The sequence below is a fragment of the Homo sapiens genome, chromosome 7, assembly GCF_000001405.40.
Source record: "Homo sapiens chromosome 7, GRCh38.p14 Primary Assembly".
Taxonomy (NCBI): domain Eukaryota; kingdom Metazoa; phylum Chordata; class Mammalia; order Primates; family Hominidae; genus Homo; species Homo sapiens.
The window spans coordinates 43524235-43550698 of NC_000007.14; the positions used below are offsets into that span (position 1 = coordinate 43524235).

General features: G+C 41.7%; 1 protein-coding gene across 19 annotated transcripts in view; it reads left to right on the forward strand.

Annotated features, from left to right (window-relative positions):
- HECW1 (HECT, C2 and WW domain containing E3 ubiquitin protein ligase 1) overlaps nucleotides 1–26464 on the forward strand; it is a 453355-nt gene that overhangs the window by 411588 nt on the left and 15303 nt on the right. For all 19 annotated transcript variants that reach the window (NM_015052.5, XM_017011883.3, NM_001287059.2 and 16 more), the window contains 3 exons: nucleotides 16929–17027; nucleotides 17635–17764; nucleotides 26211–26357. In NM_015052.5, coding sequence (NP_055867.3) covers nucleotides 16929–17027; nucleotides 17635–17764; nucleotides 26211–26357 — 376 coding nt within the window. The remainder of the gene's footprint in view (nucleotides 1–16928; nucleotides 17028–17634; nucleotides 17765–26210; nucleotides 26358–26464) is intronic.

The window sequence follows — 26464 nt, forward strand, 5'->3', positions numbered from 1 at the left end:
TGAGAAAAAAAGCTGGCTGTTCATGCAGTTTTCACACTCTGAAATGAAATCTACCCCAGGCAGACACAACAGGTTTTCACTAGATTTTCTAATATATAAGAAGTTAGAAAATATGAGAAGACCAAACCTGAAGGCAGTAACACTGAGTAAAGCATGGAAACATACATTGTGTGGGAACGTCATGAAGTCTTATTACTTAAATAATGAGGTTGAGAAAGGATAATTATTTTTAATTAAACAAAGTTAGAAGGATAAGGAAAGAGGGGTATCTTTGAGATGGGTTTTTAAAAATGTAATAGAACTTAGCAATTATGAAGTACTTTTCATCTTCAAAGAACCTATTAACATTAAATTACTCTTTCTTTTCATTCTCCTGTGAGGTAAGTAAGCAAATACTAACATTATTATCCCTTATTTGTAGATGGGAAGAGAGGAGTGGAGAGGCTTTGACATGCCCATGCAGAGCTAAAATTGAAAGAATTCTTTTTTCACAAGTTCCTACTAGAGACTGTGGAGACCCAGGTTTGGGGCTATTGTTTCACCTCTAGCTCTCCCGTGTGCTTGTAATATTTGGAAAAGAAGTTACTGCAAAATTATGTAAGCAAGCATTAGTGGGAGGTGGAAGGAGCTCCTGTGTCCTGTAGAGGGGCATGAAATGCTATTTACAAGTCTCCAAATTTCCCTGGTATATCAGGATTTAAACTGAGGAGGTTTTCACGAGAATCAGCGTTAATTAACTTGAGCAGACTCTTTACATTATCTTATTTCAGCATCCTAATATAAAATAGGGATTAAAAATTATGCTTTATTTGTTGATTCAAAACTCTTTTTTATGAATGTATTATGGCATGATTACACAAATGAACATCGATGCTGCCTACCTTAGAAATTTGCTTCAAGGACAAAGGAAAGTAAAGCACTCTAGTAACAATATCAAGCCCAATAATCGGTCGGAATATGTGGTCAGCATCATGGCTGAGAAATTTTTAGGCTTGACTCTAAGTATGAAAATTAACAAAATTGGAACTATTATTTAAATTACTGAAAATGTAATTTCCATGAAATCAGTTCATTTCCTGAATATTTAAATGCTAAATAGAATGGACAGAATCAATATATTGCATTCAAAAGTCTTTTTGTCTGTTGGGAGAGGTTTAAAAAGCAAATTATATGAAAGTATAAAGACGTCTTTCTGTTCAGCCCAGTTTCATGAGAGGAGGGATACATTCAGCGGGGTGGAGGGTAAAGAGTTTGACAACAACAGAAACTGGAATGACAGGAGGGGTGGGCCCATTGTAAACCACCTAGCATCAGTTATTCTCAATTAAAAATAGCGCAGCTGAAAAAAGTACTGCAAATGGCATTAGCAGAGGTGGACCAGGGACAGAGGTACAATCCTAATCAAATTGAGAACAGAACCAAGGTAGCTCAGTGATCTCAGGATCGGAGAAGGGGGATGTTGGTGGAGATGTATAAAACTAATGATCAGGAATATCATTGTGAACGATAAATGGGAATCACTATAGACCTCTAGGGAAGTGTGTGATGTAATCCAGGAAATGGATCCTCCAGCCTAGGCTGAGAGCAGATCAGCCTTGGGACCTTTAGGGGTACAGAGGAGAGGGGAGGCTTCCTACTTTCAGATGATGAATAGAAAACAAAGGCTACACTGGCTGTCCCTACTATCCAGACTTCTAGGGACTTTCTCTTTATAGTCTAATTTTAAAGAGTATCAATAAATTCTATTATCTAAAGAAAAATATCATCAGTAGGTAAATCTTCAAAACAATAAAGCATCATAGAACATAGTCACAAGCCTCAATATTATACTGATTTAGTATTTTATTTGGCTTATGCATTCCATATTTTCCCTCTATCTATGCAATTAATTCAGAACCAATTACTTAAATAGCTTCAGGTATTTCTGGTATCCTGATTGTATCAGTACATAGATCTTGTGTGGCATGGCAACTTGATGTTGTCAGAGCCATTATTATTTTGCCATTCATGTGAAAATTACAGAATGCTACATCAGTTTAGACTTAGGTCATATTTAAATAATTCTAACATCTTCCTGAAGCATAATGTCCCTAGATTGTACACTCCATGGGAGCATGAGGGCCTTGTCTATTATGTTCACTAAGTATTCCAGCAGTTAGCACAGTGCCTTGCAGATGATAGATAACTTATGATTCATAGAAAGATTGAATGAATGAATGGAGTGGAAATTCTAAACATTGTTTGGTTTAGCCCAAGTTGATTTTTTTTAACCTGACTCAGATTTATGGAAATATTGTGCATTGGTTAATGCATCACAGGTAAGAAAGAGATAATAACATTTAAAGGGTCAATAAGGCACTCTGGGTTCTGCCCGGAACACAATGGCATTGCCATTCCTGTATTCTCTGGTCTGTGCAGCTCAAATAATTAAGGCTTCTAAACCTTCACCTTCCTGTATTATCCAGTTAGATGAAGATATAGCAGGGCCAGGTGCAGTGGCTCACGCCTGTAATCCCAACACTTTGGGAGGCCAAGGCAGGAAGATTGCTTGAGTCCAGGAGTTTGAGACTACCCTGGGCAACATAGCAAGACCTGTCTCTACAAAAAATAAATTAGCCAGGCATGGTGGTGTGCAACTGTGGTCCCTGCTACTCGGGAGACTAAGGCGAGAGGATCACTTAACCCAGGAGGTCAAAGCTGCAGTGAGCCGAGATCGCATCACTGCATTCAGCCTGGGCAACAGAGTGAGACTCTGTCTCAAAAAAAGAAAAAATTTTTGAGGCTATAGCAGGTTTCAGAGCACTTTAGTTATCCAGGCAAGCAGCCTTTTATGGTCAAATTTTCTATATAATTCTGGGCTTGGAACTAGACACTGTATCTCATTCTAAAACTAGATAAATTCCCTTCTTGCGTGAAATTAAATATATTACTTTAGTGGAACACTTACAAATTCCAAGATCCTATGCTGAGTGAAAGGTGTTCTGGACAAGCAAGGAGGAGGGCTATGCTGCGGGTGGGCACTCCCTCACTTTCCTAAGGCTGCCATAGCAAATTACCACAAACTGGCCATTCTCAGTTCTGGAAGCCAGAAGGCCAAAATCAAGGTGTCAGCAAGGCCACACTCCCTCTGAAGGCTCCAGGGGAGACCCTTTTTTTACCTCTTTCAGCTTCTGGGATTTCAACGGCTCCTTGGCTTGTGGCTGCATCACTCCAGTCTCTGCCTCTGTCTCACATGGCCTTCTCATCGGTTCCTGTGTCCTCTCCTCTCTATCTCTTATAAGAACGCTTGTCGATGGATTAGGGCCCACCTGGATAATCCAAGATCATCTTATCTTGAGGTCCTTTACTTAATTATATCTTCAAAGACTCCTTCTCCAAATAACATCACGTTCACAGGTTCCAGGGTTTAGGATATGGGCATATCTTGTGGGAGCCAATATTCAACCCATTCAGATACCTCCCATCATGGAAACCACCAAGTTTAATAATGCAGTATTATGTTTCACTCTGAACCTTTGGAGTGTCTGTTTCTAAAGAATACACCAGATTTTGATAGAAAATTCACCAATCTTTCCAAAAGCCCCCAAAGGCCTCTGAGAAGAAATTGGTAGTATTCTCCCAAGGTAAACAGAGAAACCAGTGAAAAAAATTTCAACTGTTTGCCTGAGCTCATAAAGCAAATTCACAAAAAAGTCAACCTGGAGAACTAATGACTGAGGCTCAGACAACGGTAAAATAGCTAGAAAGTTAAATAACTAAAAACTGAGCTATTAGCTAACGTTAATAGCTAAACTGAGAGCTAAGCTATTTTGGTCCATTAATTAACTACTTTGATTAATTTTGTAGAGTGAATTGTTCAGTCGTTTGACCATGAAAGGCTGCTTGCCTGGATAACTAAATGCACATCGTTTTTGCGACTTGTAGACATAATCTCAGTCATGAGCATCCATGATATCGCAAAACAAAATATTTCAACTCTCCCAGTAAAGAATATTTGGAAGCTAAGGAGAAATCATGCTTTAGAGGTCAATGAAAGCATCTTTGAGGGCCAGAGTGGTAACATACCTGGACACATCTAGATACGGGAGGAAATCAAAGGTGGGGTAATGTTCTCTATATTTATGGGAAGGTTTATTTTCCTGGATCTTTGTTCCTTAACTCCTTTCCACATTAACCTAATTTAATCCTTATAATCTGGGAAAATGTGATTGATACATTCAGTATTAACACAAGCTAACCAGAATGATGGGTCAAAAAATATCACACTTTCGAATGATCAGTTTTACCACAACTGGTTTTTCATTGAATTGAAGAGCAATACTAAGTATGTTATTTGCCATCTCTATATGGTCAGAGGGTTTGTTAAGAGTCTGCATAAGGTACTTTTAGAAGTGCTTTCTCTAAAAGAGAGGCACACCGCACACTTGGCCCACCACGTTGAGGGGAAGCAGCTCTGGTCTCACTCCTCTGCCCCCCTGCAGGGCAGATATTAATGGAGGGGACTTGGCGGCACCAGGGCTAGACATTCATTTCAGTTGCTAATTAGCAATCCGAAGATAATATCCTGTCATTATCCTGTGTTGGCAGAGTCTCTTTCATGGCAGATGAAGAAAACTTCAAGTTTTCTCAGCTAATTTGTAAAATCATTTCCACATAAAGGGAAGCTATGAAAACCAAATATAAATCATGACTTGCATCTGCAATATTTAAACAATTTTTATGGGGCATTGGGGAGGAGATTCTTTACACATTCCCCAAAACAGTATCTGAATAAAGGTGGGTGTAGAGAATAGACCAAACCTACCTAACCCCCGTGGCAGTGACCTACATTCCACTCCAGCCACCTGCTCCCACAGTGGCCCTCTCAACCTCATTATCACCCAGAACTGTGCCATGTCAGAAACTGAAAACTCTAAAATCCTACTGTCAATCATTCTACAGCCGGCGTTCCCACCTCCTCCCCCTACCATCGCTCCTTGCCAAGCTCGTTCTCACCTTGGATTCTCTGTCTCCTCATAGTCTGGCATGGCCTCCTTCATCCCAGGCCTCCTGAGCGCCTTCATTCCCTGCACACCCAATTCCCTCCCTGCTCCATGCTTGCACCCCATCTGAAGGACAAAACGCCACTGTGGATTAGTATTGTAACTCACTCTTCCCCATTCCATGCCAGGGTAGTTTTCTATAGCTCTAGCCCTGGAGAAAATGAAATAATTCCAAGAAAGGGTACAATTCTAAATCACACTCCCTGACCTCAGAAAGTGCCACAGCAAAGCTCACCAGTCCTGTTACAGGGGCATCTTCCATTTGACTGTCCCAAAAGCCTCCATCAACCAAAATCACGTCCACTGTGAGATGACTTCAGACCCTACTGAAATGGAAACACTGAGGTGACCACTTCAATTTCTCACCCCAAATAAAAATGCTACCCAACCTTAACACCCTCGCTGGAGTCCATTCCTCCACTCAAGTTGGACCTGCCCACTCAGGCTCTAGGCCCACCAGTCCCCATCTCCATGCCTCTCCAGCAGTCATCCCTTTCTCATGGATCTTTACACTTCATGCTCTCCCCCTGCTCTGCTCCTCTCCCTCACTCACTTCCTCACCTACTGAAGTCTGATTTCAGTAATCGTCACCAGCACTGCCCTTTCCATGAGCAGCAGAGACCATCTAATCAACAGAGCCAGTGAACTCTTACCACTTTTTACTTTTTTTATTTTTATTTATTTTTTTTTTGAGACAGAGTTTCGCTCTGTCACCCATGCTGGAGTGCAGTGGTGCAATCTCGGCTCACTGCAACCTCCGCCTCCCAGGTTCAAGCGATTCTCCCACCTCAGCCTCTCAAGTAGCTGGGATTACAGGCCTGTGCCACCATGCTTGGCTAATTTTTTTTTTTTTTTTTTTTTAGTAGAGATGGGGTTTCACCACATTGGCCAGGCTGGTTTCAAACTCCTGACCTCAGGTGATCCACCCACCTCAGCCTTCCAAAGCGCTGGGATTACAGGCATGAGCCACCATGCCTGGCTCATGCTTTACTGTAATCGACACTTTACTGCAGTAGATACAAACTCCTATTTGAAACTCTACCATCTTAGATTCTGACATGCCATTGTCACCTAGTTTTTATTATATCTTTATTATAAGTAAATAAACATAGTTTTATCACATCAGTAAGGTATACTCATTATGAAAAAATTTAATATACATAAGAAAATATCTCCATACAGAAATAAATGCCATTATTCTTCTGACCTAAGTTTTTCCATATCTTTTATGGATGGATGGATGGATGGATGGATGGATGGAAAGACAGATATAATTTTATATAAAATATAGCAATGTAATCAAAGTTTACTGCTTTATAAACTTCTCTCCATACTAACATATGAATTCTAAATTTATATTTTCAGCTCTGACCTCTCTATTGAGCTTCAAACTTTATTATCAAAATACCTACTAGACATCTCCACTTTGATCCTCCTCCAAGTTAATAATTAATCTCTCCCACCAAGCCACTTCTTCCTGTCATCCTTCTCTTCTGCTGCTGCTCACTGTCCTGCTGATTTACCTCCAAATTGTTCGGCATGATGCCCTTGACATATTGTAATAACCTCCAAATCTGCCCCCTCCTAAAATCTATATCCTTCATATGGGTGCAAAGTGATTTCTCTAAAAATGCCAAAACAAGCATGTCACTCCCCTGTTTAAACCTGTCAATGGGTTCTCATCGTCTACAGTTTAAAGGGTGAACTTGTTGGCATGGAAAATAAGACCTTCCAGGACCTCCTGCTATCTCTCTCCACAACCTTATCTCACATCTTGTCCTTCCTCATTCTGTATGCTCTAGTAATCATGAATTGCACGCTGTTCTAAACACATACCATTATCTTTCCTGACTCTTTTCCGATGTGATTTTATTTTCTTGGAAAGCCTTTCCCTGTCCTCTTAAGCAAACTAATTTCTATTCATTCTTCCAGGCTAATTCTTAGGCTTACCTCACTTGTCACCTCCTTCAGGAGGCCTGCCTGGATTTAACCCCGCCAGAGCCAAGCTATGCTTCCTCCCCGGAGTTTTCACAGCACCCTGTGCACTTCTCTTCACCACTTGCTCTGTGGTGATGAGATACTGCATTGCTGTGTCTATCTCCCTTCCTAGCTTGTAAACTCAAAATGAATGAGTACCTTAGGATCTTCCTATGCACCTGGCACATAGTAGGCACTTGATAAGTTTGTTGAAATTGGAAACGTATGAACACACTGCAATTTCCCTCACATTGAAAAAACAACAACCCAAACCTCCATGTCATGCCCTCCTCCACTGACCACTCCACTGCTCCCCTTTAGAGGTGCATTCCTAGAAAGAGTTATCTGTGCTGGCTTTCTCCACTGCCTCTCCTCCCATTCTCTCCAGCCAGCTTCCTCCCCTGCACCCCTAATGAAGATTGCCAAAACCATCTGGTGACCTCTCAGACTGCTTACTACCTGATCTCAGAGGCATTTGACACAGTCGGCCTCTGCCTCCTTCCTGCACCATGCGCTCCACATCCCTGTTCCTCCAGCCTCGCCACCTGTTCTTTCTCATGTACTTTATTGTTGCCTCTCATCTTCCAGATCCCCGAATGCTGCATCAATTAACATTCAGCCCTGGGTCCGCCTCTCCATCTGCACAAACTTCCTCCATGATCTTGTCCAGATGCCTGGCTTCAAATGCCATCTGCATCCTGACGGCCCCACAGTGACATCTGTAGTGCGGCCCTGTGCCCGGAGGTACTGACTCCTAAGTACAACTGCCTGCTCCACAGCTCCACTCAGATATAAATAGGCAGCACAAACGTAATATGTCTGAAAGAGAACTCTCCATTTCCTCCTCCAAGCCCTGTTCTGGTGTTTCCCATCTCAGTAAATGGCACCCGGTTGCTCTGGCCCAAGGCCGTGGACTGTTCCTGGTGCCTCTCTTTTTCTCATCTCTCCCCTTAAATGCATCAGTAAATTCCCTTGGCTGTATCTTGAGAATACATCCAGACTCTGACCTCCTCACCTCCACTACCACCCCCAGTATAAGCCACCATCACCTCCCATCTGGATGCAGAAGCCTCCAGACAGGCCTCTGCCTTCACTCTTGCCAGACTCACCTCTCTCCATGCATCATCCAGAGTGATCATTTTAACACATCGGTTCATTCCAAAGACCCTACACGAAACTTCCAATGGATTCCCATCATACTTAGAATGAAATCTAAAGTCCTTCCCATGGCCTGCCAAGTCCGGCATGATCTATCCCCTGGGTGCCTCTCCAAACTCATGTTCTGCCATTTCCCCCTTCTCTCTCTGGAGTCCACCCCCACTGGCCTCTTTGCATTGCTCAAGCAAACCACACACCTTCCCACCTTAGATCCCCTAAGCTGTCCCCCAGCTTGTGATGCTCATTCTCCAGGAGCTCACTCTTTTTCTTTACTCAGGTCCTGCATCATCCCCTCAGCAATGTTGACACTCCCTGGCACATTCAGAAGGAATTATTCTCCCCCATCATCACTTCCCCAAAAGAAACCTGGAGCCCAAATTATTGGTGGGAGTTTAAGATGATATTTGGTGGGGTAGGAAGTACACTTACAGATTCAGAGAATGATGAAAAGCTGCTCAAATGTGCAGAGTGGAGCACAAAGCCTTAGGGGTAAGACCTGCATTGCCTCAGAGGGCCCAGTCAGCCTTCTTCAAGTTTTCAAGAAAGGCAAGTTAGAAAGGAGTATATCATCACCTGTTTAGATATATTTTCCCACACCCTGTGCTCTATTCCAGTGGTTCTCAAGAGAGGTTGATTTTGCACCATCACTCTCCACCGCCAGTGGACACTGGCAATGTCAGGAGGTAGTTTGGGTTGTCCCAGCTTGGGAGGCTGGTACTACTGGGCATCTAGTAGGTAGGAGTCAGAGATGCTGTTAAACATCCTATAATACACCAGAAAGCAAACATCAACAGTGCTGAGGCTGAGGAACCAACTCTATTCTTTTGAGAACTGCAAAAGACTCCTTAAAGGAACTTAACCCATGCAAGTCCTGGTCCATTACCAGGGAAGCAGTGTCTGGGAAAGATCCAGGAAGTATCAGAGATAGAAAACATGACTGCTACAGAAAGAATCTTCTAGAACTCAGCTGACACAAACCACCTGGCTGTCAACCTACAGGTGGTAGGCAATGCATAGGTGAATGCAGTCCCCAGAGTCATGGCTTGGGAAACAGGACATTACAATGGTGTCCTGGAGGCATCCAGGCATGGATGCAGTTATAGCAACCCTCTGGCCTCATTCACTGACCCAACAAAATGTGTGAACCCCCAAAATTTGCCAGTACAGTGCTTGTTTCGACAGACGTTTGTGCTCCAGAAGATGCCATAGTGGTTAGAAGAGGCCTTTATAGACTAACGACTGCGTGCAGGGTTTTTAACAGACCTCAGTGTCCTGCCACATGTTCCTGCATCTGCCTCAGCCCCCACCTCCTCACCAAAGGCACAAGAGCCAAGCACATTATCACCAAATGCCCAGCCTCTTTACAGTGCCCAGTACACCATGTGATCAGCTCTCCAGGCAGGAAGACCCAGCTTTGGGTCTCCCAAGTCTGAAGCTTATCAGGGAGTATTTTTCATGCTGAGCTGTGATGCATCAAAAGATGCAGAAGCCAAGAATTAAGCAGAAGGAGATGAGTAGCCTGATCTGTTGGGGCAACAGATCAAGAAGAAGAGACTAAGAAGGTCACCCAAAGCAGGAGACCCCTTGAATCAATCCTTAGCAGCCCAAGTTTAATGCCGGGAAATCAAACTGCCAGAAATGCCCTACAGAGCCTTTTCAGACTTGGCATATTGCCTGGGTGCTGCACTGAGGGTTTCGCTCAATTTTTATATCACTTTCGTATAAAAGGATTAACTAGAAGGCTTTTAAAGTCTTTTCTTTCACTATCCAAAATGTCCTTCCAGAGTATCATTAGGTCTTTTATTTTCTTGGCTTGGCAAACTATCCCGCTTCCCCTTCCATAAATCGTGGCCTGTAAATAAGAGATTCCTCTTGCAGACTTCCCAACTGCATTTTTTTGTCATTACAAAAACTGCTTTCGTTTAAATAATCTGTTGAAAAATACACTGAAATCATTACATACTAATTCCTGCTAAAACATGTTCCCCAACAGTAGTTCACTAGAGAAACTGAAGAGGGAGAGAAGGAAGGGAGAGGGAGACCTGCTATTTCAGCCCCTTGATGTAAAACATTTGCCACATCTTTCCATACATTGACTCAGCCCCTAAATTCTCCTCTGCAGTTTGTGCTTTCTGTCCATCTTCCTGGGTAGAGACCTACTGCAGCTATTGGAAATTTGAGCAATTAACCTAGTCAAACAGGGTTCAAATGGTATAAGACATTTCAGACATTTTCTGTGGGTTTGTATAGTTGCGCTCCACTGGGATAAAACCAGATGATAATTTTCAGTTTAATTCCATTCAACAAATCTTAATTGAGACCTTAACTGTGCCAGGTACCATGATACATAAATGCTGTTTGTAAGCAGAGCAGAAGTTTGCAGCAGGAAATTTCAGGCTAGCCACTGTCAGCCCAATCCACGTTTTCACTCTTCAATTCAGAATGGGTTTTTAGGCCTAGGGTTCTGAGTGTGATGTAAGAAACTAGACATGCCAGTCTATGGATAGGAATTCATTAGACTCTCAGGTGGACTGACCTCCACTAGTCCTTGTACAAAGGACTTTTAGCATCTTAGCAGCTGTCCTATACAGTAGGTGCCAATATGATTCCCATTTTGCAGGCAAGTTAACTGATATTAAACAGGTGTCCCAAAGTCACACAGGTCACAAGATCCAAACCAAGGCAGCCTAACATCAGACCTTGTGATATCATCCTCCACAGCACATTGCCTTCCTTGAATTGTTGGCAAATGGCCCGAAGAAGAGTCAAGTCAACAAACAGCAATGCGCTGAAGGGGAGGGTTGAGTCTTTTTGGGGCCTTTAAGCCACTTGGGAAGATGGGCTGGAAATGTGTGAAACTCAATTACCTTTTGAACTCTCACTAAAATGTGCAAAACCCAGATGGAACTATGAGAAATCCTTGCCAATAACATTAGCTCCCTTCAGATCTCCTGCCGTAAGAGCCCTCCATGTGTTTTTGAAAGGTCAGAGTGGCTGTAGTTTTCTTCAGCGTAGGTCAAGTTCATCTCCCAGACATCTGGGGAGGTGCTGATGTGCGCGCACCAAGAGTGACATTTGCTCATTCCCAGTTCACAGTCCCAGTGCACACTGGGTCCAGGCTTCCCCTCAGGATCTATGAGCAGAAGGATAAGGATGAAAAACATATATGTTTCCATCAGAGGGGAAACGGCTGAACCAAGCATAGAGCATTCCTAAAAAGAAATATTTTGCAGTGTATTAAAGGATAATGAAAACCACTATTTGCATGTATCGAGGGTGTCCGTACTGTACCGTGGTGGGAACATGATGGCACAGAGGTCCCATCTACGTATGTATGCCCCTGCTCTCACCAACTGGTAATCAGGGGAAGAGTCATCTCAGGGCCATAAATGTCACCTTGGGTGACAGAGTTGACTCACTTTTTTAAAAATATTTTATATATCACTTGTATTTTACTTTACACTAAAAAATACCAATTCTGTTATTTTTCTTTGGCAGGAGGGAAGGGGTTGATGATACCAAAAACAAAAACTTGCAACATACTAAAACCAAGGATATGAAAATAACTTATATCAGAGTCCAGGAATGTTCCCACAAACCACAGAGTTGTGGTTTGGATTGAGGAATCTAACCATGAACTGTCTGTGCTCTTCATCTGAAGGAAAACAGAGCATGCTTTCCACACCAAGGAGACTTGGACTTCATTGATCCTCAATAGAAAGGATTTGGTTGTTGTTGTTAAATGTGGGTTCTTGGTATTTTGCTATATTGCTAATCTTTCTGTGGTCTCAGGTCTAAATGGGTGGAAACACATCTCTAATTGATAAATAAATAGAAAAATATGCTTTATGTGTTTCTTAAAAGTCAGGAATATGTCTTACGGTGATGGCATGTCAGAATCTCCTGGGAGGTTTCAAATTACACCGAAAACATTGCCAGAGAGAGAGACTCTTCCCCCTCCACTGCCCAGGGGAGGCTCCATTCCTGACCCATCTGGGTGTGGCTAGAATGGGGAAAAGGCTGGGACCCACCACCCGCTGCTGGGAGGTTACATGGGCTGACCCGCCTTGCCTCCTCTCCTCAGCCACGTGTGCATGTGCACCTGCTGGGTACCTGGGAGCTGAGGTCTCTCTTGTGAAGAGGAGTTGAAGGGCACCCATCGTTGGAACTTAGACACACATGGGAAACAGCAGAAAGCAGATTCTGAGCAGGGACCTGGGGGCCCTTCAGATACAATGGCCCCCATGAGAAGCAGAAGAATGGCCTAGGGAGCCAGGGTGCCCAACACAGCCTGAGGGGTAGAGGTGAACATGGTAGCTGTTCCCTCCACCCACCAGGCCCTGGCTGCCCTAGGGATTAAAGGACGGTGAGCAAACTTCAAAAGAGTCCCTGTAAACTCTTAGGGCCCAGGCAACTCCTCCGCGAGGCCCCTCTAAGACAGCAGGACAACACGGAGGAGCCACTCCCTCCTGGCAAAGTAAAACTGAGCACAGGCCAGGAAAAAGCACAGATGCGGGGCTGCAGCCTGGGCAGGCAGCGGCGGCACCAGCACAGGCAGCGCATGAACCACACGTCTGTGATGTGCTGAGTTGCAGAGGCTGAGACGGTAGAAGCTGCGTTCAAGCATGGCCGCCAGAATGTCAGCGCAGAAAAAGAGGGGAGCAGTGCTACACCCCAGGAGCAGGGGTGGCCTGCAACATCGGTCGAGACTCCTGAGATCCATGGAGAGAAAGAAGTGAGCAAAGCCCTGCAAGCTCACACACACAGGCTCTCGAACGGGGCCCTGGGGCCCGGTATTTAAGTAACAGATTCACACCCACAGGCAGAGGGAGCGGCTCCGCTACTCCTGTAGGGTCTTATTTTACTTTATCCTCTGAACTCTATTTATGCCAAGTAACTTAGCTCGAAACCTCAGCATTTAATTTTGCTTAAATTATTGGGATAGTTTCTTCATACCTAGACACACTATCTTAGATCCAGAGACTAAGGAAAAGTATTTTCTTTCTGTCTCATACTTCCTCCTCGTTTGTGACCTGTGTTAACAGCTAATGTAATCAACTTCCCCACAGGCAATTGTTTAGTTTAGGGGAGATAAATATACAAGATAAATAAAGGAGGTGCACCATTACTAGAAGGTGTTTTCTCATTCATGGAATTGCACACACAGCAATTCATCAGCTATTGTTTTATTTTCCTTCAGCTATTGTTTTAGATTTGAATTGTACAGTTGCTGTATTTTGCTTTATACAAATATGCCCCAGATCATAGTTCATGGCTCTGGAATATATTTTATGGTATATATGGGACTGGCTTAGAGTCATCCCGTCTGTGGTTATGTAAAGCCAAACCACGTTATCATAGCTTTGTTGCACAGTTATTTTTTTTAAAAAAGCTATGGCTTGTTTGTTGCCCATGTCAGTCCGAGAAACCAGTGTAATTCTGACTTTGGAAATTCCACCTTATGGTCTTCCCAATTCAAAGCAAATATACAATTCTCTGTTGGCAGTCTGCGCTGCAGTCCCCTGGGCTAGGAAACCCCGTCGCCACACCCCCTGGTTGAGAGGCATGCAACAGTGATCCCACCCGCTGGTTGAGAGTGGTCCTTGCTGCAAAGTGGTCCTTGCTGCAAAGTACTCGAGACTCAGATTTCTTCCCTGGTTGCTCATGATTGATCCGGTGGGCATCCAACCTGAGTTAGAACAGTCAGAGAATCATGCTGAAAATTTAGACCTAGGTCAGAGGGAGTCAAGTTGGTCTCTCTTGCGCTTGAACTCTGGTATGTAAACCACAGGAGGTGTTGGCAGTGAGAGAGGAGAAATGAGCTTAGAGGAGCCAAAGGGAGAAACTGGATGAGGGAGGGCGATATCACTCATGTCCCTGGAGTTCCTGAGGCCCAACTGCATTCCTGACCCTGGATTCCTTGAGATACCACTGTGGCCTTAGAGGGCTTAAGCTGGTTGAAGATTACCTGAACCAAAATATATCTAATTAGCACAAGAGATGTTGGTAGCTAACATAAAAAACTAATAGCAAAAATAGGTAACAATTAAATAGTGAAGTTTTCCAGAAGAAGAAACTGAGAAGAGGGAGGTTAAATGCTTGCACAAGATCACACACCAGGCAGCCTGGCCCCAGAACCCAGAGTAGCAACCTCTCCATCGCTCACATCTCAAAATAGACACAGAGGAAAAGGCCTGGTCTGGTGTCAGGCAGATGTGGGTCAGTTTCCTCGCTGAACCACTTGCCTGGGGCTAATTATTGACCCTCGGTTTCTTAATCTGCAAAATGGAGATGACCAAAACCATAAAATAGAATTGTTGCAAGGGTCAATGAGATATTGTAAATAACGTGCCCTTTACCCAGTAGGCATTTGATAAAAGTTACTTCTAATCTGTTTCCAATTTTTCATTTATAATTAACCGCGGTGACTAGAACTGACAGAATATTGTGAAGAGTGGTAGTAACAAGCATCAGTATTTTTACTGTTAAATATATTGCTGAGATAGATGTGCTTTATTTTGTTAAGGAAGCATTGTTCTATTGCTGGTTTACTACAAAGATTTTTTTTTCTCCAGAAATTGGTGATGGATATTTTCAAGTAACTTTCCAGTTTGTAACCAAAAAAAAGTGGTATGATTTTTGTCTTTTGACCTTATACTTGATTTTAGTAATAGAATTTTTAATACTGAACTATCCTTATCTAATTGAACATCCTTAATCATTTTGCATTATTCTGGGAATGAACTAGTAGGTTCAATTCTCTTGTGTTAATTTAGGATTTATGTACAAGTGCAATTTCTCTAGTTTTCTTTCTTGTTGTATCTTTTCCAGGTTCCACTTTGTGTTTATGGTAGCTCACAATGATGAATTAAGAAGTTTTCCACCCTTTTCTGATTTCTGGAACTGTTGAAATAGCAGAAAGGTTTACTGTCCTTGAGTTTTTGAAAGAACATGTCTTTAAAAATATGTATATCCAGTCCCAGTATCAATTTTGGAGATAGTCCTTTCTCCTCAAAGTTTCCTACTTGGCACTGTGGTTATCGGTCTATTTAAGTTTTCTACATCTTCCTGAATAAATTTGAATAATTTTTATTTTGCTAGAAAATTTGTAATTCATTGAGATATTTAATTTTTTAGCACTAAGCTGAAAATAGTAATCTCATTTAATGTTATCATTTATTTCATATCTGCATATATTTACTACCTGCTTTGATTCCCAGCTCTCTTTACTGGACCCTCAGGGGCCACCTCTAAGTGCGGAACCACGGGCCCATCACCTCTGTGCTGACCTTTAGTCTTTTCCTGGTTTGGATCATCTCGGTCATCTCGACCTAGATGGCCACAACCCTACTATCATGTTAGAAGCATTGGTTACAATGCCCTAGAGTCTATTTAGAGTAGGTGAGCCAATCTTCTATTGGAGTAGAAGATAACTGTTTTTATACACAGGTTGTGGTTACTGTCTTGGAGACTGGTCAGTTATGGGGTGGTCGGGAAAGGGCACCCAGGAATGAAGCACTGGTGGGGTACCCAGGCCCAAGGACCCATTGTCCCAGAAGCCCCCTATCCACAGTGCCCCATAGCACTTTCACTGAGGTTTTGTTTGACTCTAGTCTCTTCAGAGTCAATAACACTAGCATGTTATTTCATGGAAAAAGAATCAACTACTTCAAACATACCAATTTGAAGTGTTTTTATAAATATATTTATTCTGTGGAATCAGATAATCTATTCATTTTAACATCTTTATAGCAGCTATAGAGTAGGAAACCCTCTGAGTCTAAAAAGAGCCACATAAAAGGCATTGGAGATAGATTAGTTGGAAATTCCACCAGGGAGGATCTGAGAAAATTCACCACTAAATCCCCGATAAGGTGAAAACCTACTTAGAGTGGACACCAGGAAGACTCCAGTTATGAAAGTAGGTGCCAGAGATAGGCAAGGCCCACATGGTGGGGAAAGCATAGGATGCTAGACCAGGCAGGCAAGAAGCTGGTTTAGGAGCAGGCAACAATGGAACCAAGCCCAGGTAGCCTCAGCATTTTGCTAAGCAGGTTACTTGCAAAATGCTCAGGAAGTCAATGCTCCGACAAGCATTTAAATCAGTAAAGGCACTTACATCTGGAGGTGGCCAGATCTGTATGGCCAGTTCTTCTTAGCAGTGACCTCGTTCTGTCTTTTATGTGGCTGGCAATTTTAAAGAGTGATGTTCATTCAGCTTATCTCTTACCATATTGTGATTCTATGTAACTCTTCCCCACTATCTGCAAGCACAACTGCCATATGGGCTCCATACTCAAACCCTCCACCTGCCAGCATGGACCTTAGGTAATGTAGATAAAATGCTTGAATGGGTAAGGACGCACATCCAGAAAGCCCTCTGTGTCACTGGATCTGGGTCCTCTTCCAGTTCAGTGTGGGCTTTTTATCTAAGATTTCTGAATTCCCCTTCCCAGTGCTTTTCTCTTCTTGGGTCCTCATTCTCCACGGTCTGAAAAAGGTTCTGGAAAAATGACTCGAGTCTGCTACATGGCTGGAAGAGGAGGCTTCCTTTAGTCCCTAACAAGCACACAGGGATTGTTCATGGTAAAGCAAAAGGACAAGAACAGGTGCCTCCCTTGTGTCATCAATGAGAAGATTCCTTAAGCAGCTTAAGATGAATGCTCAAACACATCAAATAAAAGTGCAAACTAAAATATTTAACAATGTAAATTTCCACTTACCGATTTCTCTGCCTTGTCTGTGTTCCAGGTTCAGGTTTAGCGGTCGCATCCTGGGTCTGGCTCTGATCCATCAGTACCTTCTTGACGCTTTCTTCACGAGGCCCTTCTACAAGGCACTCCTGAGACTGTAAGTGCTTTGCAGACCATGCTTCCAACCCAGCCCTGTCTGCAGGGCAAGGACACCGACCTCTCTGGTGCCACTGACCCTTTTGTCACTATTTTGCCCTAACCATTCCTGTTAGGGTTATGGTGGCTTCCTGTTCTGAGTGCTTAGATATCACTTACATTTTTTAGCACAATAAAAAGGTATTTGGGGATTTTGTTGTTGTTGTAAGGGAAGATTCTATTATCAAAATCTCATATCATGGAGATGAATCATTTTATATAAAATTATAATAATATTACAAACATTGCATTAAACTGTTAAGTAGAACTGATCTGTTTATAGCATAACTGTTTTAAAATGATAGTTTTCTCCAATTTTCATGCAGAGTCCCTGAGTCAATAGTTATTTCATGTTTGTTATTGTAAACAATTTCACATTTCCTTTTCAAAGGAAAATCATTGAATGAACTAAAATGACTGAATAATCTGATTCATCAGTGGATTCAAAAGTATCCAATTGTTAGGATAAGTCTGTGATGTTTTAGCCAGGAATGATATAACCACATTTTGAAGTGAGGTCTGGGCAGCCATTTGTTTGGTAATTTGCCTTTCTCACTGAATTCACCCAGGCCCTGTGATTTGAGTGACCTGGAATATTTGGATGAGGAATTCCACCAGAGTTTGCAGTGGATGAAGGACAACAACATCACAGACATCTTAGACCTCACTTTCACTGTTAATGAAGAGGTTTTTGGACAGGTTTGTGTGACATGGGGTTTGGAAAAGGGATTTTGTTTTTTACTATGGAAAATGCACATAACATAAAGTTATCATCTTAATCATTTTTAAGTGTAGACTTCAGTGCTTCAGTATATCCACATTGTTGGCCATCCAATCTCCAGAACTTTTTCATCTTGCAAAACAGAAACTGTACCCATTAAACAATAACTTTCCATTTCTCCCACCCACAACTCCTGGCAACTACCATTCTATTTTCTGTTTCTATGAATTTGACTACTCTAGATACTTCATATAAGTGGAATTATACAATATTTGTTTTTTTGTGGCTGACTTATTTCACTTAGCATAATGTCCTCAAGGCTCATCCATGTTGTAGCATGTGTCTGAATTTACTTCCCTTTTAAGACTAAATAATATTTCATTATGTAGATATATATGTATATGCACATATATATACAAATATATATAGTATTCTTCCTTTATATGTATATAAAATATTCCTTCCTTTTTAAAGCTGAAAAATATTTCATTATGTGTATATTATATATATATAAACAAATATATATACATATATGCCATATTTTCTTTATCCATTCACCCATTTGTCTGTTGATGAACACCTGGGTTTTTCCACCTTTTGGCTATTGTGAATCATGCTGCTATGAACATGAGTGTACACATATCTGTTCAAGTCCCTGCTGTATAGATCAATTCTTTTGGATATATACACAGAAGTGAGATTGCTAGATCATGTGGTAATGGGATTTTGTTTTTAAATTAGCGAATAAGGGATCTCATTCATTCAAACCAATTCCTTGGGAACTACTTCCTTTAATAAATCTGCCCGTGTCCTCTTTCTTCTTTTTCTTGTTATGACCTGGATCTACTTTATGGAGTTTTTTGAAAATCAGATATGATAATGGATCAGAAAGCATTTTTGTGAAGTACGTCATACATACGTCAGGGATTTCTGCTATCTGTGCCATTACAGAAATGATTCTTTTTATCACATCCAGATAGCTACTCCTCCAAAATACATATATCTCAACACTAAATAATAAGATAAAGTTTCCCATTTGTTTTCTACTAGCATTTATATAACATCAAATCTTCGGATCAAATGGGTTACAATTTTAACAGAAAATAACCATAGCCTGAGTAGATTTAACAAACAAGGTTTGGGGAACCTCATTTTCTAGACCTAAAGTCTGTGACATAAGGTAATTCGTAACAGCGGTTGTTGTGATAGTTAAATCAGAATGCTTTAGAGGTGCCTCACATCAATGTGGACAGTGCACTGGGTCGCTGCATGAGAATGAATGAATGCTGCAGGCCACCAAGCACCGCATCCCAGTCAAGAATCTTGGTTAGGTCCTGGAAAATGTCAACATTCTGTTGTATTTCTTCTGTAAAAACATGCCTCTGAAGAATGCTGTCTTACGTATTTGAGAAAAAAATATTTCTTCCTACAACTCTGGAGAGCACATTTAAATATGTTCAAGAATATGCTACTCATGGCTGGGCACGGTGGCTCACGCCTGTAATCCCAGCACTTTGGAAGGCTGAGGTGGGCAGATCACCTGAGGTCAGGAGTTCGAGACCAGCCTGACCAACATGGTGAAACCCCGTCTCTACTAAAAATACAAAAATTAGCTGGGGATGATGGCAGACACCTGTAATCCCAGCTACTCAGGAGGCTGAGACAGGAGAATTGCTTGAACCTAGGAGGCAGCAGTTACAGTGAGCCGAGATCACGTCATTGCACTCCAGCCTGGGCAACAAGAGCAAAACTCCATCTCACAAAAAAAAAAAAAAAAAGAAAAAAAAAGAAAACTACTCATTTAACTTCCCTGCCATGTACTCACTGAACAGGCAAAATACACTGTTCTCTGTGCATGACTACTTTTAGCCCATCTTTCACATATGCCCTATTGTAGAGGGTAAGTTTGTAAAATATACACAATTACTTAACAAACTGTATTAAGACAACTGGGTAGCCATCTGTAAAAGTTTTAAGTTAGATCCCTAACCTAACTCATGACACTAAATAAATTCCAGCTGGATCAGAAACCTGAATGTAAAAATTTTTAAAAAAGGAAAAAAGAGATAATTTTTATTTTTAATCTTGCACTAAAGAATGCTGATACAGATATCGCACAAATTCTCAAAGTCATAGAAGTCATCTGACATAGTCAAATATTATTTTTAAATTTCTGCATGACAAACTATACTATAAACAAATTGAAAGCAACATAATGTTTAATACATAACATAAAGACTATTTCTTTCAATATCAGAAGAGATCCCACAGATCAATAAGAAATTATCAGTCAACAACCTAATAGAAAAGTCACAAAGAATATAGATAGTTCCCAGAAAAGGAAAGACAAGGAGATAATCTCATTTACAATTTTTTAAAATAAATTAACGCTATAGTGAGATACCATTTTCCCTCATTAGAATGTCAAGAATCAGAAAATTTACCAGTATTTTGGGATGGTGTAGAGAAACAGACCTTCTTGTCCATTGTAGGTGGAAGTGTGATTCACTCTCTATGAAAGGCACTTTGGTGATATCGGTTCATATTTTAAATCACATGCCTTTGACTCAGCACACGTCTAGAAATTTGTCCTACCGATACATTAACACCTAATTAAAATTACTAATATATTAGGATCTTCATCACAGCCTTGTTGATAGTTGAAAAATATCTGTAACAGTCTAAATGTCCAGCAGTAGAGCACTGGTTAAATAAATGATACATTTACTAAATGAAGTAGTGAAATCATGTGGGGTTATTAAAAAGCATGAGGACACCCCAACCCCTCAATTCACATATAATCATGAGCAATAAACAGGGTACACTAACAACAATAAAGAAAGAAAAACACAGGTCTAAATTGGCATGAAAAATGTCTAAGATATAGTTTTAAGAGAAAAAGGATAGTGAAGAACAGTGTGTAAAACACACTACTGTTTACAGGGAAAAAGAGTTTATGTTGATCAGGCACAGTGGCTCATGCCTGTAATCCCAGCACTGTGGGAGGCAGAGGTGGAAGGATCTCTTGAAGCCAGGAGTTCAAGACCAGCCTGGGCAACATAGCAAGACCCCATCTCTAAAAATTTTTAAAGGTGATATATATACATTCCCCAGCATATGCATAGAATCTCCCTGGAAGGGAAGTAGAGATGACTGTCTCCAGAAAGGGAGATTGCATGGCTGGGAGGTTAGGTGGGAGAAAAACTGACTTTTCATTTTATGGCCTTCTACACCACTTGAATTTTATTCCATGGCCATATACTGTCTATTCAAGAAAACGAAGTCAACTACAAATAACTGAATGCATAAAATTAGAGGAAAAAATAAAGTTGAAGATACAGAAGAACAATCCTCTAGTGTAAAGTGTAGGAATTCGACAACTTAGAAAAAAAGCTTAAATGTTCCCAGTGCTAAAAATAAGAATGTGTTGTAGATCTATAATAATGTACAGTTGACCCTTCAAAATGCAAAGGTTAGGGCGCTGAGTCCTGTACAGTTGAAAATTCATGCATAACTTTTGATTTTCCAAAAACTTAACTACTGGTAGCCTGCTGTTGACTAGAAGTCTTATTAATAACAAAAATGGTCAATTAACAAATATTTTGTAGGTTATAGGTATTATAAACTGCATGCTTACAATAAGGAAAGCTAGAGTAAAGAGAACCTTATTAAGAACATCATAAGGAAGAGAAAATATATTTTCTATTCATTGAGTGGAAGTGGATCATCATAAAGTTTGTCTTCACTTTGAATAGGCTGAAGAGGAGCAGGAAAGGAAGGTTTGGTCTTGTTGTCTCGGGGTGGAGGAGGTGGAAGGGGGGCAGGAGAGGCAGGCACACTTGGTGTAACTTTATGGAAATACATCATAATTTCTGTCGTTTTTGCTTTTTCCTTTCTCTAAAAATGTGTCTATATAGTACCAATCCTTTGCTTTAGTTTCAGTGCCCATATCTAGAAAGGTTCATTATCATAAAAGAAGTCAAAAGCAGTCAAACAATCAGAACCGTTCTGCCAGATTGTCTAACATCGATTTGTTTTCTGGCACTGCTTCTTCTAGATCTTCTTCCCCTTCTGAACCTGGCACTGGTTCAGAAGCATTCATCTCCATCAAGTCATCTTCTGTTAGTTCCTCTGGCGTGGTGTCTGTCAGCTCTTGAATTTCTCCAAGATCTATATCTTGAAACCCTTTACCCCCAACCTTTTTTTTTTTTTTTTTTTTTTTGCCATATCCACAGTCTCTTTCATGATTTCCTTGATTGGCTCTGTCATAAATCCTGGGAGGTTATGCATAACATTTGGACACAGTTCTCTCCAGCAGAAATTTATTGTTTGGGGCTTGATGACTTTCATGGCTTATTCTATAACATCTTCAGTGGCATAACTTTTCCAGAATTTCACAATGTTCTCTCTATTGAAGTCATCCATAGTGTTGACATCCTTTCCATAGAGTGTCATGTGTAATGAGACATAAAGTTCCTATGACTCCTGATCTAAAGGCTGAATTAGAGATGTTGTTTTGGGGGGCAGGTAGACCACTTTGATGCCTTGGTGTTGAACTCAAGGGGTTCTGGGTGGCCAAGGGCATTGTCCAATATCAAAAAAAAAAAAACAAACAAACTTTAAAAGGTAGTCCCTTTCTGGCAAGGTACTTCCTAACTTCGGGAACAAAGCACTGACAGAACCAATCCAGAAAAGAGGTTCTCATTATCCAGGCTTTCTTGTTGGCAGCTGGTGTTATCTTTTCTCTTCAAGGCTCGGGGGTTAAAGCTTTAATGGATAAGGGCAATCCTGATCATAAATCCAAATGTGTTTGCACAAAACAGCAGAGTTAGCCTATCACTTCCTGCCCTAAATCCTGGTGCTCACTTATCTTCCTTACTAATAAGGGACCTTTGTGGTGCTTTTTTTCCAGAACGGGGCACTTTCGCCTGCATTAAAAACCTGTACAGGCCGATATCCTTTCTCCTCAGTGATTTTCTTAATGGTGTCTGGGAATTCGTCTGCTGCCTCTTGGTCAGCACGAGCTGCTTCTCTTCTTATCTTGACATTTTTTTCAGCCAAACCTGTTTCTAAAATTATCAAACCGTCCTTTGCTGGCATTAAATTTTCCAACTTTAGATCCTTCACCTTCCTTTTGCTTTGAGTTATCATATAATGACTTTGCTTTATCTAGAATCATATTAGAGTCTACAGGTATGTATGCCATTGTTCTAGCAATACTGCACTCACATAAAAGCTGTGTTTTCAGCCAGGCATGGTGGCTCATGCCTGTAATCCCAGCACTTTGGGAGGCCAAGGTGGGCAGATCGCAAAGTCAAGAGATCGAGACCATCCTGGCCAACATAGTGAAACCCCATCTCTACTAAAAATACAAAAATTAACCAGGTGTGGTGGCACGTGCCTGTAATCTCAGCTACTCGGGAGGCTGAGGCAGGAGAGTCGCTTGAACCCAGGAGGCAGAGATTGCAGCAAGCCAGGATTGCGCCACTGCACTCCAGCCTGGCGACAGAGTGAGACTCTGGCTCAAAGAAAAAAAAAAAAGCTGTGTTTTCAATATGAGATAAAAAGATATTCCACAAAAAGTGCCAGGTTTTCACACCTGCTGGCATAGCTGCAGTGATGGCTTCATGAATTTCGTTTTCCTTTTTTACAATGGTCCCTATGCTGGATTCATTTATTTTGAAAAGATGGGCAACCACATCTGCAGACCTCAATCTATGGTGCCTATCAAGTAATTCAATTTTCCCTTGTAATATCATGATTTTTCTCTGCTTCTTGGGAGTATTTCCAGCATCATTAGTGGCCCTTCGTGTGGGTCCCACAATGTTATTCAAAGTTTACAATATTGCACTTAAACACAGTGGAAAATATTCAGTAAACAAGAAAGATCACTTTTTACTGTGATACACAGTTTACTGGAGAGAGGCTATTCATCAGCAACACTTGCGTTCATCGCAAAAAACAGCAGGAGGTGACTACAAAATTATTACAATAGTACAGTATGTACTACAGTTAATTTTATGCAGTTATGATTTAATACCGCATTTTGATGTTTGTATTTGTCTCAACTGCCAGTGGCACCATGTACAGGCTCTAAGTGTTTGTGTGTGTACATTTTCATAAATTTTAACTTTTTAATAATAGATTTGTGTACATTTTATGTTAGTAAATGATAAAATAGACTAGTATCTACATATATTTTATGGACTCATTACATTTCTAACTTTTTTTTTCATTTTAAAAAAGCTTCTATTAATTTTCTAGGTATGCAGGTCATCTGCGAGTTTTTTCAAATTGTTGTAAGTCTCCAAAAAAATTCCCAATATATTTATTGAAAAAAATCCATGTACGAGTGGACCCATGCAGTCCAAACCCACGCTGCTCAAGGGTCAGCCTGTATACCTGTTTAAAGTTTATCTCATTTCTCTTCAAAAGGGGGTCACCAAGAACAATGAGTGGTTTTAGAAGATTGAATTGCAGCCCTTCTTTTGTCAAGTTGTTAGACAGTGGAGAGCAGAGGGATGCAGGTGAAAGACACCGTAGGCTTTAGGATTAGATTCAGCTACTAGTGAAGAAGCCAAAAATGACCCTGTTGAAATTAATAGAAGCTTTTTTTTTCTCATATAAAAGCCCTGTTGAGGCTGAGTGTGGTGGTCCACGCCTATAATCCTAGCACTTCAGGAGGCCAAGGCGGGTGGATCGCTTGAGGCCAGGAGCTCAAGACCAGCCTGGCCAACATGGCGAAACCCTGTCTGTACTAAAAATAAAAAAAAATTAGTCAGGTGTGGTGGCATGCACCTATAGTCCCAGTTACTTGGGAGGCTGAGGTGGGAGAATCGCTTGAGCTTGGGAGAGAGAGGTTGCAGAGAGCTGAGATTGTACCACTGCACTCCAGCCTGGGTGACAGAGTGAGACCCTGTCTCAAAACAAAAACAAAAAAAGCTCTGTTTGATAAAATCCTCAGGGATCAAGCTCCTTCCAGGTCTCCCCACTGCTATCGCTAGGGTAGGCCCCCTGCACTCTTAGCCCAGATGCGTACAGCATCCCAACCATCACAACTGTGTTCAGTGCAGCCGGACAAAGGAACACACAGCCCATCCCTTCAAGGAGGCCTCCTGACAGTGCCATACACTTCTGCTTACATCCCATTGGACAGAATTTACTTACATGCCACACCTAGCTGTGAGAGAGGTTGGAAAATAAAGTCTTTAACTGGGCCGCTAAAAATCAGACATTCCAAAGAATATGGATGCTGGGTGGTAACAAGTATTTTATCATTAGCCAATATTTTATAATTGGCACTAATCACCTAAGTGATAAAAGAAAAAGTCACCATCAGACTACTTATGGACTGCTTTGTTTAGGTACCTGTGTCCACAAGTGCCAAACATATATGTATTTTTTTCTTTAAACCAGTAACTAAGTCCAGTGATGCCTCATTTGTCTTGCAGCATTGAGCATTGCAGTGAGCCCTTAAGTGAATTTAAGATGACTGAAGATTACCCCCTTCATACATGAACATATTTTGATTTTTTAAAAAATGTCTAGCATGTTATCTACCTCCTTGCCTGTGAAAAGATGATACACAGATAATAGCCTTCCCTGATGACTCAAGCATGTCCTAACAAACAGGCATCATCACACAAGTGGCAGCGCCATTTGCTGTGTGTGCCTACATGCTTCTGGTTCCCTTCCCAGGGTCAGGCTGCCCTGGCTGTGTAATATTATACCCCACCCTCTGCCAGAAGACCACTGTCTTCTGGCCAGCTGTGGGAGTGGAAGCTGATGGCTGTTAAGAATTTGCTGTCATTGAGATTTGGGGGCATCAAGTATGTGATTGTAGTGTTGAGACATTCAGCTTCACCATTAGGGACAACCTAGGACATTTTCCTTTTATTTCCATTATGCCTCTTGAGTATAGGAAACTTGTTTCCTCTGTATAAAACAAAAACTGTAGCCTTTCCAAGGTGCTTAGCAATCTGCTTAGAGGTCGGGTGCAGTGGCTCCCAATACTTTGGAGTTGGGAGGATCAGTTAAGGCCAGGAGTTCAAGACTAGCCTGGGCAACATAGACCACATTCTACCAAAAAAAAAGAAGAAGAAGAAGAAAGAAAAAAAATTAACCAGGCGGAGTGGGGCTTGTCTGTGGTCCCAGCTACTCAGGAGGCTGAGGCAGGAGGGTCATTTGCCCCCAGGAATGCAGGGCTGCAATAAGCTATGATTGCACCACTGTGCTCCAATCTGCTTAGAACAGCCAGAGCTCTTTTAGTGACCTTTAGCAAGGAAAAAAGACTCCAGGGATAATAATGCTGAATAATGCCCTGTAGAGGATTTTTGGCATACGGTCATCCCCCTAAAATCAGTGTGCCTCCCTGAGAGATAAGCAGAACTGACAAGCATCGCAATATTTCTGTTTTCCTACAAGGTCACGGAAAGGGAGTTGAAGTCTGGAGGAGCCAACACACAGGTGACGGAGAAAAACAAGAAGGAGTACATCGAGCGCATGGTGAAGTGGCGGGTGGAGCGCGGCGTGGTACAGCAGACCGAGGCGCTGGTGCGCGGCTTCTACGAGGTGAGGCCCGGTGGCCTGGGGAAGGCAAGCTGTGGCCAGGGTGCTGCTTCACGGGGCCTCATCCTCCAGGCTCCCTGAGGGAGCAGCAGCTCAGGTGGTGAAAACAG